The following is a 13,958-nucleotide window of genomic DNA, read 5'->3' on the forward strand; positions in this document are numbered from 1 at the left end:
GAGCAAAGAATACGAGACTATAAAAAGTATCCAAGGAGACCTGAAGAAGCAAACGGAACTTCCAGAAACAAAAAATAAAATAAGTTAAAAATTCAATGGAAGAGTTAAATACAAGATTAGCAGGAGATGAAAAGACAAAGTTGAAAACAGAAGTGGACAGTGAGACCGAAAGTATGAGAGAGGTTTAAAAACACAAAAGATGGACTTCTAGCCATGAAGGAGTATCAAGGTCTGAACTTACCCTCCCCGACCCACCCCTGCCATAAACAGCTAGAAACTGTACAGAATACATGAAACAAATGTTTTCAGACATTTGCAACTGGAAGTAAAGCACTGTGAACCCTGAAAGAGGGGAAAACAAATAAATTAAGTCCTGTAATCACCCGAGCTTCCATCTAGGAGGCAATTTCTAGACCATGGCACAGAAAGGTGGAATCCAAATAGAGCCTGGTAGACTTACTAATTTGGACAAACAGAGCCTGGAGTTCAGAGAGGACAAGATGCCTAGAATTTGCAGAGCAGGAAAAGAGCTCCAGTAAAACTATCTATAGTAAGATTTGAGAATATTAATCTCTGCATGCATAGGATGAACTCTATGAGGTCATGCAAAGAAGAAATTCTAGAAAAAGAACAATTACTAGAGAGCTAAAAGCAAAAAATTCTCAGAGATCACAAAGGGTCCAGAATCACTCAAATTCTCAATAACCAGAATGAAGATACCTCTTTGAACTCGCTGGGCAGTCATTAGGAATCCTGAGGTCAGGAGGAGAGTGTCATACCTTAATAGTGAAATTATACCAGTAATTCTAGAGCAAAAGCTACTCTAGTGCTGCCTCATCAAAGTTTGAAAGCAAGCTTTTCACAAAGATGAAACTGATTCATGAGGAACTTGACTATTTGCCAGAACAGTGTCCATATACTTTAAAAGGATATAATAAAATTACAGGTATGTGAAGAAACAGGAAAATGTGACTAATAACCTGGGGAAAATCACTCAATAGAAACAGACTCAGGAAACCCAGAGATAATTAAAATTAGGAGACATTTGCTGTTAAAATTAACATTTTCAAGACAAGAATTATCTCAAACATACCAAGAATAAAAAAAGATATAAAAGAACAACACAGAAAACTGTTACATTATCTAAAATGAAAATTTACTCCAAAGGATTAACAGCAGCTCAGACAATGATGAAAAGATAAATAAACTTGAAGACACAGCAATAGAACCCATCCAAAATAAAGTACAGAAAGAAAAAGAAAAAAAGAATTGACAGAGCTTCAATGACCTGCAGGAAAATATCAAGTGGTCTAACATACAGGTAATCATGGCTCTAGAAGGAGAGAAAAGACAGAGGAAAAGAAAAAAAAAAACTGAAGAAATAATAGTAAAAAGTTTCCTAAATTGATGAAACCATAAATCCACAAATTTAAGACGTTCAACAAATCCCAAGCAGGATAATCATTCACACAGAAAAAACACACAAGACACATGGCAAACAAATTGCTGAAGCCATCGCTAAAGGGCAAATTCTAAACAGCAGCCAGACAAAAAAGGACAACTGCTGTATGGAGGAACAAAGATTTAAAAATTATCCTAGACTGCTCATCCAAAGTGATGTAAGTTAGAAGACAATGGACAAACAGTTTAAAGTGCTGAGGCAGAAAAAAGTCAGCACAGAATTGTATACTAAGCAAAAATATCCTTTGAAAATTGAGTCAAAACAAAGTCTTTTTCAAGCAAACAAAAGCTGAGAAAATGAATCATCAGTAAACCTGCACTACAAGATATGATCATGAAAGTTTTCTCATGCAGAAGTAAAATGATACCAAATAGAAACAACTTACACATATGAGAGTGTCCAAGTGGTTAAATATGTAAGATTTTTCTCATTAAAAAAGTTTTAACAACTATTTACGGCAAAATAACAGTTATTATGGGGTTTTCAAAATATGTAGAAGTATTAATAAATAAATGACGATAGCACCATAAACAGAAGAAAGGAAACAGCAGAATATACTTTTTCATATTCTTTCCAAATATACATGAAATATCATGAAGATCACAAAAATTTGGATTACAAAGTGTCAATAAATTTTAAAAAATTAAAATACAGAGTATGTTCTCTGACAAAAACAGAATTAGAGTAACAGAATGTTATCCAGAAAATCTCCCAAATATTTGGAAATTAACAACATACTTCTAAGTAACTGAAAGGTCACAGAAGAAATAACAAGAAAAATGTGAGGAAAAACCCACAACACATACTGTGAAAAGTACTGGTTTAGAGCAGGGGTCAGCAAAGTACAACTCTCAAGCCAAATCCTGTCTGTACCTATGTTTTTGTAAATAAAGTTTTACTGGAATATAGCCACACTCATTCCTTCGTGCATTGTCTATGACTGCTTTCACACTGCACTGCAATGCAGAGCTGAGTAGTTATAGCAAAGACCAAATGGCCCACAAAGTTTAAAATATTTACTATTTCACTTACTATAGACAGCTTATCAAATGGTGGTTTGGAGCACAGATTCTGGTAGCAGATTGCCTAGGTTTGAACATCATCTCTTACTAGCAGGGTGACTTTGGACAATTATTTAGCCTCCCTGTACCTTACTTTCTTCACCTATTAAATGGGGATATAAAATTACTTCACAGGGGTCACTATGAGAATCAACATATACACTATTTAAAGGAGTTAGAGTGCCTGATATATGGTTAATGTTATTTAATGTTTGCTTCATATCATTATTATTATTGCTATTAGTTTACTATAACCATAGTTAAATGGGGACAAATAAAAATACCTCACAGGGGTTACTGTGAAAATTGACATATGTACTACTTAAAGGAGTTAGAGTGCCTGGTATATGACTGATGTTACATAAATGTTTGCATCATATTATTATTATTACTATTAGTTTACCATAACCTTAATTAGCTTTAAGAACCTACGCCCTCTAACTGTCCAAATGAGAAATGCCATCTAGTACCCAGTTACAATTTCTGAAAAGAAAGTTTTACTATTTAAACTCCAAAATTGGTAGAATGAATAATTTATATAAAAAGATACAGAATACAGTTTGTTATGACTCTCCATCAAATCAAGCTAGCAGAAAGCCCAGAGAACAAGAGGAGATTATTTGTACCTCCTGAGAGTATTTACTATTTGGGAACCAAAGGGCATCAGCAAAAATCTAGCTAGAACAAATGTATCTACCTCTTGCTATCAGAATACTGTGTAGAGGTTAAAATTTCACAAGACAAGTATATTAAGTGAGGAATAGCCAGAGGGGCACTGCTGTTCTTTCTACTAATGTCTCCTCTGTCTGGTATAGCTCATCAAATACACACAGCAAAACACAATTGGCCAAAAACTTTAAAATTCCATGTATCCAAATAGAGCCTCAATACATCTAGTTCTGCAACTACAGGCAATAACAAACTAGACTTGAGAGTACTTTCTCTGTAGGCTTGATAAACATATCATGACCCAAACCAACATCCCTATGCATAGATTACGCAACAACAGACAGGACAAGGTAGAAATGACACAGCAAATACTACCTCCTCTTCTAGCTTTTTATCATTTTTTACTTTATCATTTCTTTTAACCCAGACTTGGTAGGTGAGAAAGAGAATAAAGTTTTCAAGCAAAAGTAATGCTTAATCCATTAATTGGAAGAGAGAGTCAGAGACAGTTTGTAGAAAAGTAATAGTACATTTCAGAACAAAGGACCTCAAGATTAGAGAGATCATGGTGCTTTCAAGAGAGTGCCAGTAATTCAATCCAGGGGAGGGAAGGAGTGCTAACTGGAAAGCGGCAAGAGACAAGGCTGGAGAGGTAGGGCAGAAGTCAAGAGGAAGAGTTTTTTTTTGTTTGTTGGTTTTTTTTTGATAGTGTTCGAATAAAGAGAGAATTCAGTTTTAAATGTAGAAAATGGAATATCTACAGAACATTCAAGTGTGATATTTAGAGTTGAGAAGCCAGAGCCACTGTTAGCTGATATGGAAGTTAAAGTCATGGGCCTATATACTCACCCAGAGAATGTAAGTAAAGTGAAAAGAAAAGGCTACAGACTCCTGAAGAACACTGATATTTAAGAAGCAGACAAGGAAAGACTCCTTTAAAGATAAAAATAATCAGAGAGGGAGAAAGAAAACCAGATAAAGAAGCCTCTATCCATCTTCCCAAATTCCTACCTGATCCTATTCCCAGACAAAATCTTATTTGTGTCCATTAACTGAATTGGAAGTATCCATAAAAAATTTTAGCACATCAAATATTTAAATAAGGAGATAATAATAGCATCTATTCCAAAGGGTTGTTGGGAGGATTAAATGAGATAATGCAGGCTTAGCATAATACCTGGCACTTGGTATATGCTCAACACCTTTAGCTATTATGTTTTTATGAACTTAAAATTTTAAGTAATATGTTCTCATGAAGATCTCTGATAATGAAATACATGTACCCAAGACTTTTCCTATAAGTTGCTCAAAGTAAGTGAAATTAAACACTTTCAACTAGTAAAAGCTATGGGCATGATTTCTCCTTGGATATATAGAAGAAATTCCTCAGCAATGCAATATATTACATTTAGAAAGGGCAAATTTAAAGCTAAGAAGAAAATATCTATATTTAATGTTATAGATGCTTATAATTAAAATGGCTTGAATTTCATAACACCTTAAATAAGTGGTTTTTAAAAATAACTTTGTAGGTTTGTTTTATAACATTTTATGCTATGAAATAGGTATTATTTCCTTTAAAGAAGAAAATGAAATTCTGACAGAACATTAAGACTTGAAAAATAATAGCAAAAATGGGATATGAATTAAGTTTGTGCAATTGCCAAACACTGCTATATGGTGATATAAACCTAGAAGCACATTTTTTTTCCAAATAAGAGATTCCAATTAAGTCTTTATAGATCCATTACCAGAAAGTCATCTCTTACTAATATGAACAGGAGGCAGGGAAATACTGGGTAGAAGAAGGTGGGGTCCCTGGCAAGGGTTCCACCCTCAAGCCTGGACCCCTGGCCCTCAATGAGAACATGCACTCCTGTTTTCCCACCCGAATGTTGCCTTTGCCAAAATCACTCTGGCCCACAACCCCAACCCTGTACCCATAAAATCCCCAAACTCCACTGGCGGAGGAGCAAAACAGCACTGTAGAGAAGGAGAGAAGAGAAGTGTCTGCATATCAAGAGGAGTTTGGCCCAGGATGGTCAGGAGAAGATTATCTTCCCACTCCATCCCCTCTCCAGTTCGCCATACCACTTAGAGCCACTTCCATTGCTCAATAAAATCCTCCATATACACCACCCTTCAATCTGTTCGTGTAACCTGGTTCTTCCTGGACGCTGGACAATCCAGGATGCACTGGGTGCAGGAACCCAAAAAGGCTGTCACACTGACTCTTCACTGAGTTGTTCAACACTTAAGCTGCTGGTGTCAAAGAATATTGTTTGTAACACACACCCTCTGGGGCTCCAGAGGTTGTGGGTAACCTTAGATGCTGCCACAGGCAAGCCAGCACCCAAAGGCACTCACCCCAGCTCTCCTGCAACCTCTCACCTGCATGCCCCACTCCCACAAGGGGTTTGAGCTGGGCAGCCAACTAAACGAGCTACACCCTTGTTACAAGTCCTGCAAAGGGGTCAAGGGAACTCTCTCATCTCACTACCAGAAAATCACATTAACCTATGCTACTCAAAGAAGCTATTCCTCAGAGTAATATATAAAAACATCTACTGGCTATCATGTTCAAGGGGATAGAACACACTGTAATTTGTTTCTGTAAAATTGAGGTCTATAAAACTAATTTTATGAATTAAAAAGCAGATAACTAAAATTGTTCTAAAATTTAAAATGATTTTAAAGTCTAATTATAACATAAAACTTTTAAAGATTATAAATGAACAACCTGCAAGATCCAACTTTTTACTGGTAACTTTAAAGTATTTTTAGGTATAACAATTTCCATAAAAGCACCACAAAAAAAGCTCTTGGCTTGTTTAACTTTTTAAAATCATTGACTAGAAGTAGATGATAATTTAGAAACTGATTAGTCAGTTGAATGATAATTATATCCTTTGTTGTGAACTTTGATTTTGTATAAAAAATAACTCATAGGAATTGTTCCATTATATTCAATAAAAATATAATTTTAATAGACAACCTTTAAGGTAACTGAAAATTGAAATACAGGCTGGGTGCAGTGGCTCAAGCCTGTAATTCCAGCACTTTGGGAGGTCAACAACACTGGAGGATAGCTTAAGGCCAGAAGTTTGAGACCAGCCTGGGCACCACAGTGAGATCCCATCTCTACCAAAAAAAAAAATTAGCCAGGCATGATGGTATGTGCCTGTAGTCCTAGTTGTTCAGGAAGGTGAGGCAGGAACATTGCTTGAGCCCAAGAGTATGAGTTATGATCATGTCACTGCACTCCAGCCTGGGCAGCAGAGCGTGACCCTGTCTCTAAAAATAAAAAAATAAAATTAAAATAAAACATATACAGCTTTCTGAGAAACTTAATTTTCCTAAGATATCATCCATCTGTCCTGTCAAAATACCCTATCTGGAAAAGAGTTACATAGAAAAATCTGTATAATAACCATGTAATATTCCACTGAATCAAAATCACTTTGGCTTTCAAGGTAATAATTAATTCAATTGAGAAAGTTCTTGACATGATGAAATAAAAACCCCATTGTTATATATCAACCTCCCACCCCACCTACCCACCTCCACCTTTGGACAAATAATTTTCATCAAGTGTCCAATTTAATATTTATAGATTTATAATCATTTTCTATAATATACCTTAACATACAATTTAGAAAAAAATGAAAAACTGTCACATACCTGTCCATCTAAGTCAAACGCCAAGCAAGCTATACCATGTGTATGAACATCCTTTAAAACTGATATGGTCTGCACAGTGTATGAATCCCAAATACAAATATAAGGCTCTTTCCCAACTTGTCCTGTTGCTACCAACACTCGTTCAGGATGCAATGCAAGGCTGTAAAATAAGGAAATAAATAAGTAGTATTATTAAAAATTGCTTATACAGATTTTATAGTATTTGGTAGATGTAAAACACATATACCAGTGTGAACATTAGACTTTATCCACTTTAGACAATTTGGATTTTTTAAAAATTATTTTTGTTGAGACAGAGTCTCGTTCTGTCAGCTAGGCTGGAGTGCAGTGGTGTGATCTCAGCTCACTGCAACCTCCATCCCGCCAAGTTCAAGCAATTCTTGTGTCTCAGCCTCCTGAGTAGCTGGGATTACAGGCACCCGCCACCACGCCCAGCTAATTTTTGTATTTTTAGTAGAGATGGGGTTTCGCCACATTGGCCAGGTTAGTCTTGAACTCCTGACCTCAAGTGATCCGCCTGCCTCAGCTTCCAAAAGTGCTGGGATTATGGTGTGAGCCACCACGCCCAGCAGGTAATTTGGATTTAAAATAAATAGCTTCTATAAAAATCCATGCTAACAGTTACTACTTCATAGAATATGTGATAAACAGTTAATGATAAGCTAATTATACCCTTCATAATCCCTGCAATATATTGTGTGTAAACTTCTCAAGAAAAGAACTCTCACAAGAGAGCAATTGGATCACAGCAACAAATTGGTAGCCTTTTCCTCATTTAGTATTCACCTGTTTCCAAGCCTTCTTTCCCATTTTACTATTCCTTTCACTGGATAAAGTTAGACAAAATCTTAATGTCTAAATACAGCATTTAGTAGCACTCCTACTATAACACTAATTCTTAAATTATAAATTCCATTTTAAGAAACAGAAAGGTCACCCATAATTCGCAAAAAAAAATCTATGAGTCTCTAAAAACAAGACAAAGACCTAGCAGTTGGTAATAGTTTATGTACATCAGCAGAAGGCGGGGAAAATATAAATTTCTATTTGATAATTTTTTCTATATGTCAATTTACAATATCATATTTGCCCTTGAGATGAACAAGAAAATCACACCTGGCATCACGGTGGAGAATCACTAAAAGGGGAAAATTAGGAGGATATTAAAACAGAATCAAGGCTGGGTGTAGCGGCTCATGCCTATAATATCAGTGCTTTGAGAGGCCAAGGCTGGAGGATCACCTGAGGTCAGGAGTTCAAGATCACCCTGGGAAACACAGCAAACCATTGTCTCTACAAAAAAAAAATTTTTTTTAATGAGCCAGACATAGCAGCATACACCTCTATTCCCAGCTACTTGAGGGGCTGAGGTGAGAAGATCGCTTGAACCCAGGAGTTCAAGGAACCCAGGAGTTCAAGGCTGCAATGAGCTATGACTGCACCACTGCATTCCAGCCTGGGCTTCTGGGCCAGATCCTGTCTCTAAAGTAAATAAAGAAGATAAAATTAACAGATTGGATGCAGGGGACAAGGGGAAGAGAGGGGTCTAAGATGACTCGGGTTTCTGGCTTGGGTATTTGAATGGTTTGGGGTGGTATTCATCAAGTCAGGGAATACTAAAGGGGTAATCAATGGGAGAGAAGATGAGTGGGAATACCAGGCTGGTTCAACATATGAAATCAACAAATATGGCATATTAACAGAAGAAAGGTCAAAAAAACTCCCATATATGTTTATCTCAATAGACACAGAAAAATTATTTGACAAAACCCAATCCCTTCATGATAAAAACACATAAACTAGAAACTGAAGGAAACTTCCTCAAACTGACAAAGGACATCTACATAAACCCAAAGCTAATAACATATTTAATGATGAAAGCCTGAAAGCAATCCCACTAAGTAAAGGGAAAAAACAAGGATGTCAGTTCTTGTCACTCATTTAACTTATTAGATATTCTAGCCAAGAAAAATAGGCCAGGAAAAGGAACAAAAAGTAAAAGTAAAGATCTCTATTGGCAGATGATATGATCATATATACAGAAAATCCTAAGGAATCCACAAAGAAACAACCAAAAAATGAAGAGCTAATATGAATTCAGCAAGGTTGCAGGATATACGATCAACATAAAAAATCTATTGTATTTCTATACACTAGCAACGAACAATAAAAAAATTAAAGAAAATAATCCCACTTACAGTAGCATCAAGAGGAATAAAACATTTAGGAATAAATTAAACAAAGTACAAGATTTGTACACTGAAAACTACAAAAACCCACTGAAGGACATTTTAAAAGATCTAAATAAATGGAAAGACATCTCATTTCTGGGCTTAGAGGAATGTAATATTTGTAAGATGGCAATACTTCTCAAATTGATCTACAGAGTCAACATAATCCTTGTCAAAATACTAGTTGTCTTTCTTGAAGAAACTGACAAGCTGATTCTAAAATCCAGAAAGACTCAAAATAACCAAAACTATCCTGAAAAACAAGAACAAAGTTGGAAAAATCACACTTTCCAATTTCTAAACTTACAAACTTACTACAAAACTACAGTAATCAAGACAGTGTGGTACTGGCATAAGGATATGCAGATCAATCAAACAGAATCGTGAGTCCAGAAGTAAACCCATACATTTGTGGTCAACTGATTTCAACAAGGGTGGTGCCAAGACAATTCAATGGGGGATAAAATGGTCATTTCAACAAATAGTACTGGGACACCTGAATATATATCCACATACAAAAAAATAAATTTGGACACATACCTCAAACCATATACAAATGTCAACTCAAAATGGATCAGAAGCTAAAATAATTGTTAAAACTCTTGGAAGAAAATATAGGCATAAATCTTACCAATCTTGAATGAAGCAGTGGTTTCTCAGATATAACACAAAGCATTAGTGACAAAAAAAAAAGCAGATAAAATGGACTTAATCAAAATTAAAAACTTTTATGCTTCTAAGGACAATCATCAAGAACATAGTAATGCAACCCAGAGAATGGGAGAAAATATTTGCAGAGCATATATCTGATAAGGGACTTCTATTAAGAATATATAAAGAATTCCTACAAATCAACAATAAAACTATAAATAATCCAATTTTTCAAACAAATAAAGGATTTTAACAGACATACCCCCAAGGAAGATATACAAAAGGCACATAAAAAGATGCTCAACATCAATAGTCAGCAGGGAAATACAAATCAAAAATCACAATAATATACCATTTCTTTTTTTCTTTCTCTTTCTTTCCCTCTTTCCTTCCTTCCTTTTCTTGCTTTCTTCCTTTCTCTCTCTTTCTCTCCTTTCTTTCTATTTATTTATTTCAGACAGGGTCTCACTCTGTCACCCAGGCTGGAGTACAGTGACACAATCACCACTCACTGCAGCCTCGACCTCCCATACTTAAGACTCATCCTCCTGCTTTGGCCTCTCAAGTAGCTGAGACTACAGGTGGGTGCCACCACACCTGTCTAATTTTTTTTTTTTTTTTTTGTAGAGATGGGGTCTCCCTATGTTGCCCAGACTGGTCTCAAACTTTTGGGCTTAAGAGATCCTCCCACCTCAGGCTCTCAAAATTCTAGTATTACAGGCATGAGCCACTGCTCCCAGTCCACTTCTATAAATATACATATATATACATATATATGTGTATTTATTTTTTTTTGACACAGAGTTTCACTCTCATTGCCCAGGCTGAAATGCAATGATGCAATCTTGGCTTACTGCAACTTCCGCCTCCCAGGTTCAAGCAATTCTCCTGCCTCAGTCTCCCAAGTAGCTGGGATTACAGGCATGCACCACCACGCCCAGCTAATTTTTTTGTATTTTTAGTAAAGACGAGGTTTCACCATGTTGACCAGGATGGTCTCAAACTCCTGACCTCAGGAGATCCACCTGCCTTGGCCTCCCAAAATGCTGGGATTACAGGCATGAGCCACCGCGCCTGGCCCACTTCTATATTTTAAAAGACAGAAAATATGAAGTATTGGCAAGGATGTGGAAAAAGCGTAACCCTTAAACATTGATTATGGGATTGTAAAATGATGTAGCCTCTTTGGAAAACCGCTTGGTAGCTATTCAAAAGGCTAAACAAAGTTACCGTATGATCCAGCAATTCTATTCCTAGATGTATTCCCAAAAGGAATGAAAACATATGTCCACACAAAACTTGTACACAAATGTTCACAGCAGCATCATTCACAAATGGCCAAAAAGTAGAAACAATCCAAATGTTTGACTGAATCACGAATAAAATGTGGTATCCACACAACAAAAATGACAAAAGGAATAAAGCATTAATACATGCTACAACATGGATGAACCTTGAAAACATTACGCTAAGTGAAGGAAAACAGATATATAAGGGCCACATATCATATTAATACATTATGAAATGTCCAGAATATGCAAATCCATAAAGAAAGTAGATTAGTGATTGCCAGGTGCTGGAAGGAGAGGAGAATGGATAAGGACTGCTAATGAGCTTGGGAATTTTTTAGGGGTGATAAATATTCTGAAATTAGATAGAAGTGATGGTTGAAAAACTTTGACTATACTAAAAATCACTGAATTGTGCACTTAAAGTGTACATTTTATGTTATGTGAATCATATCTCAGTTTTTAAAAAGTGAAAAAAAATACTGACATTACTGTCTGTACACATATTTTTAGTATAAGGATTTATGCAAAGAAAACCTTTGAAGTTAGACAGACATGGGTTCAAAATTCTGGCTCTGCTCTTCACAGGCTTCTTAGCAAATTCTTTATCTTCATCTTGTTTTCTCACCTTCAAAAAGGGCATATATTTACTACAAGTAATATGAGGGAAATTTCCCCAAGCTTGAAAACTGGGGAGGAAGGCTGTGTGGTGGCTTGTGTCTGTAAACCCAGTGCTTTGGGAGGCTGAGGCAGGAGGATCACTTCAGGCTAGGAGTTCAAGACCAGCCTGGGCAACACAGCAAGACCCCACCTCTACAAAAAATAAAACAACTAGCCAGGTGTGATGGTACATGCCCGTAGTCCCAGTTATTCAGAAGGCTGAGGCATGAAGATCACCTGAGGCCAGGAGTTCAAGGCTGCAGTGAGCTGTGATCATGCCACTATACTCCAGTCTGAGTGACAGGGCAAGTCACCATCTCTTAAAAAAAAAAAAAAAAAAACTGGGGAGAAAAACTATGCAGGTCCTCATAGTTTAACTACAAAATCTTCATACAATAGAACAGAGGTATTCAAAGTCAAGTTAGAGAAAAAGGATAGGGTGGGTCCGTGTTTAGATTTATAAGAAACTGTCAGTTTTCCACAGTAGTTGTACCATGTTACACTCTCACCAGCAATGTAAGAAAGTTCCAGTTGCTCCACATTCCTACTAATATTTGGTAGTGTCAGTGTTCTTAATTTGAATTTCCCTGATGACTACTCACATGGACTAATTGGTCTTATAATGATCTGTTCAAGTCTTCTAGCCATTTTCATTAGGTTGCCTTTATATTTTTGAGTTTTCAAAGTATTTCATATATTCTCAATACAAGTCCCTTTGTCCTACATGGGACTTGCAAATATTTTCTCCCAGACTGTAGCTTTTCTTTGCATTCTCTGTTTCTCTCACAGAGCAAACATTTTTTAATTTTTATGAAGTCTATCTAGTTCATTGACTTTTGTTTTATGGACCATGCTTTTGCTTAACCAAAGGTAATAAAGATTTCCTCTGATATTTTCTAAAACTTTTATAGTTTGTCTTACATTTAAAGCTACAATCTATTTTGAGTTAATTTTTGTATAAAGTGTAATGTAGGTTATAGTTGTTTGTTTGTTTGTTTTTTGCTGTCTTTATGTAAGATTCCTAACTTTCCAGCACCATGTATTGAAAAGACTATCTTTTCTCCATTGACTTCCCCAAGCACTTTTGTCAAAAATCAATTGACCATATCTATATTACTTTTCCACAAATTGCACCCTGTATTTTACACCATTAACCTATGTATCTATCCTTTCACCAATACCACACTGCCTTCATGAGTATAGCTTTATTATAAGCCTTAAAATTGAATACTGTGAGTCCTCTACCTTTGTTCTTTTTCCAAATTGCTTTGGCTATTCTAATTACTTCATCTTTCCTATAAAGTTTAGAATCAGCTGTATATCCTATATATCTTGTTGGGATTATGATTAGAATTGTATTATATCTATAAAAAACTTTGAAGAGAAGTGACATCTTAATTATATTGAGTCTTCCAATCCATAAACATAGTACGCCCGCCCTCCATTTTTCAGGTATTCTTTGTTTTCTGTCTCATTTTATAGTTTTTAGTATATAACATAGACCTTGCATAGATTTTGTAAAATTTATATAGATATTTTTGAGCTTTTGTAGACAGTATTGCTGTAAAATTTCAGTTTCCAATTGTTCATTGCTAGTAGGTAGAAATATAACTAATTTACGTATGTTGACCTGGTATCCTGTGACCCTGATAAATTCACTGAGTTTTAGGAGTAGTGTTTTTTGTGTGAGTTTTTAAAAAATAAATTATTTGGAATTTTCTATGTAGGCAATCATGTTGTCTAAGAATAGAGACAATTTATTTCTTCCTTTTCTTTCTATAAGCCTTTTTATTTCTTGTCTGATTGCACTGGCTTGAACTTCTAGCAGGATGTTGTTTTTTTAAAATTATTATTATTCTTTAAGTTCTGAGATACATGTGCAGAACGTGCAGGTTTGTTGCATAGGTATACATGTGTCATGGTGGTTTGCTGCACTCATCAACCTGTCATCTACATTAGGTATTTCTCCTAATGCTATCCCTCCCCTTGCACCCCAGCCCCAACAGGCCCTGGTATGTGACATTCTTCTCCCTGTGCCCATATGTTCTCATTGTTCAACTCCCACTTACAAGTGAGAACATGTGGTGTTTGGTTTTCTGTTCCTATGTTAGTTTGCTGAGAATGATGGTTTCCAGCTTCATCGTCCCTGCAAAGGACATGAACTCATCCTTTTTATGGCTGCATAGCATTCCATGGTGTGTATGTGCCACATTTTCTTTATCCAGTCTATCAT

General features: G+C 35.9%; 1 protein-coding gene across 25 annotated transcripts in view; it reads right to left on the minus strand.

Annotated features, from left to right (window-relative positions):
• EML5 (EMAP like 5) overlaps positions 1-13,958 on the minus strand; it is a 180,523-nt gene that overhangs the window by 135,208 nt on the left and 31,357 nt on the right. For all 25 annotated transcript variants that reach the window (XM_047431057.1, XM_017021065.3, XM_047431056.1 and 22 more), the window contains one exon: positions 6,874-7,033. In XM_047431057.1, coding sequence (XP_047287013.1) covers positions 6,874-7,033 — 160 coding nt within the window. The remainder of the gene's footprint in view (positions 1-6,873; positions 7,034-13,958) is intronic.

The sequence above is a fragment of the Homo sapiens genome, chromosome 14 (assembly GCF_000001405.40).
Source record: "Homo sapiens chromosome 14, GRCh38.p14 Primary Assembly".
Classification (NCBI taxonomy): Eukaryota; Metazoa; Chordata; class Mammalia; order Primates; family Hominidae; genus Homo; species Homo sapiens.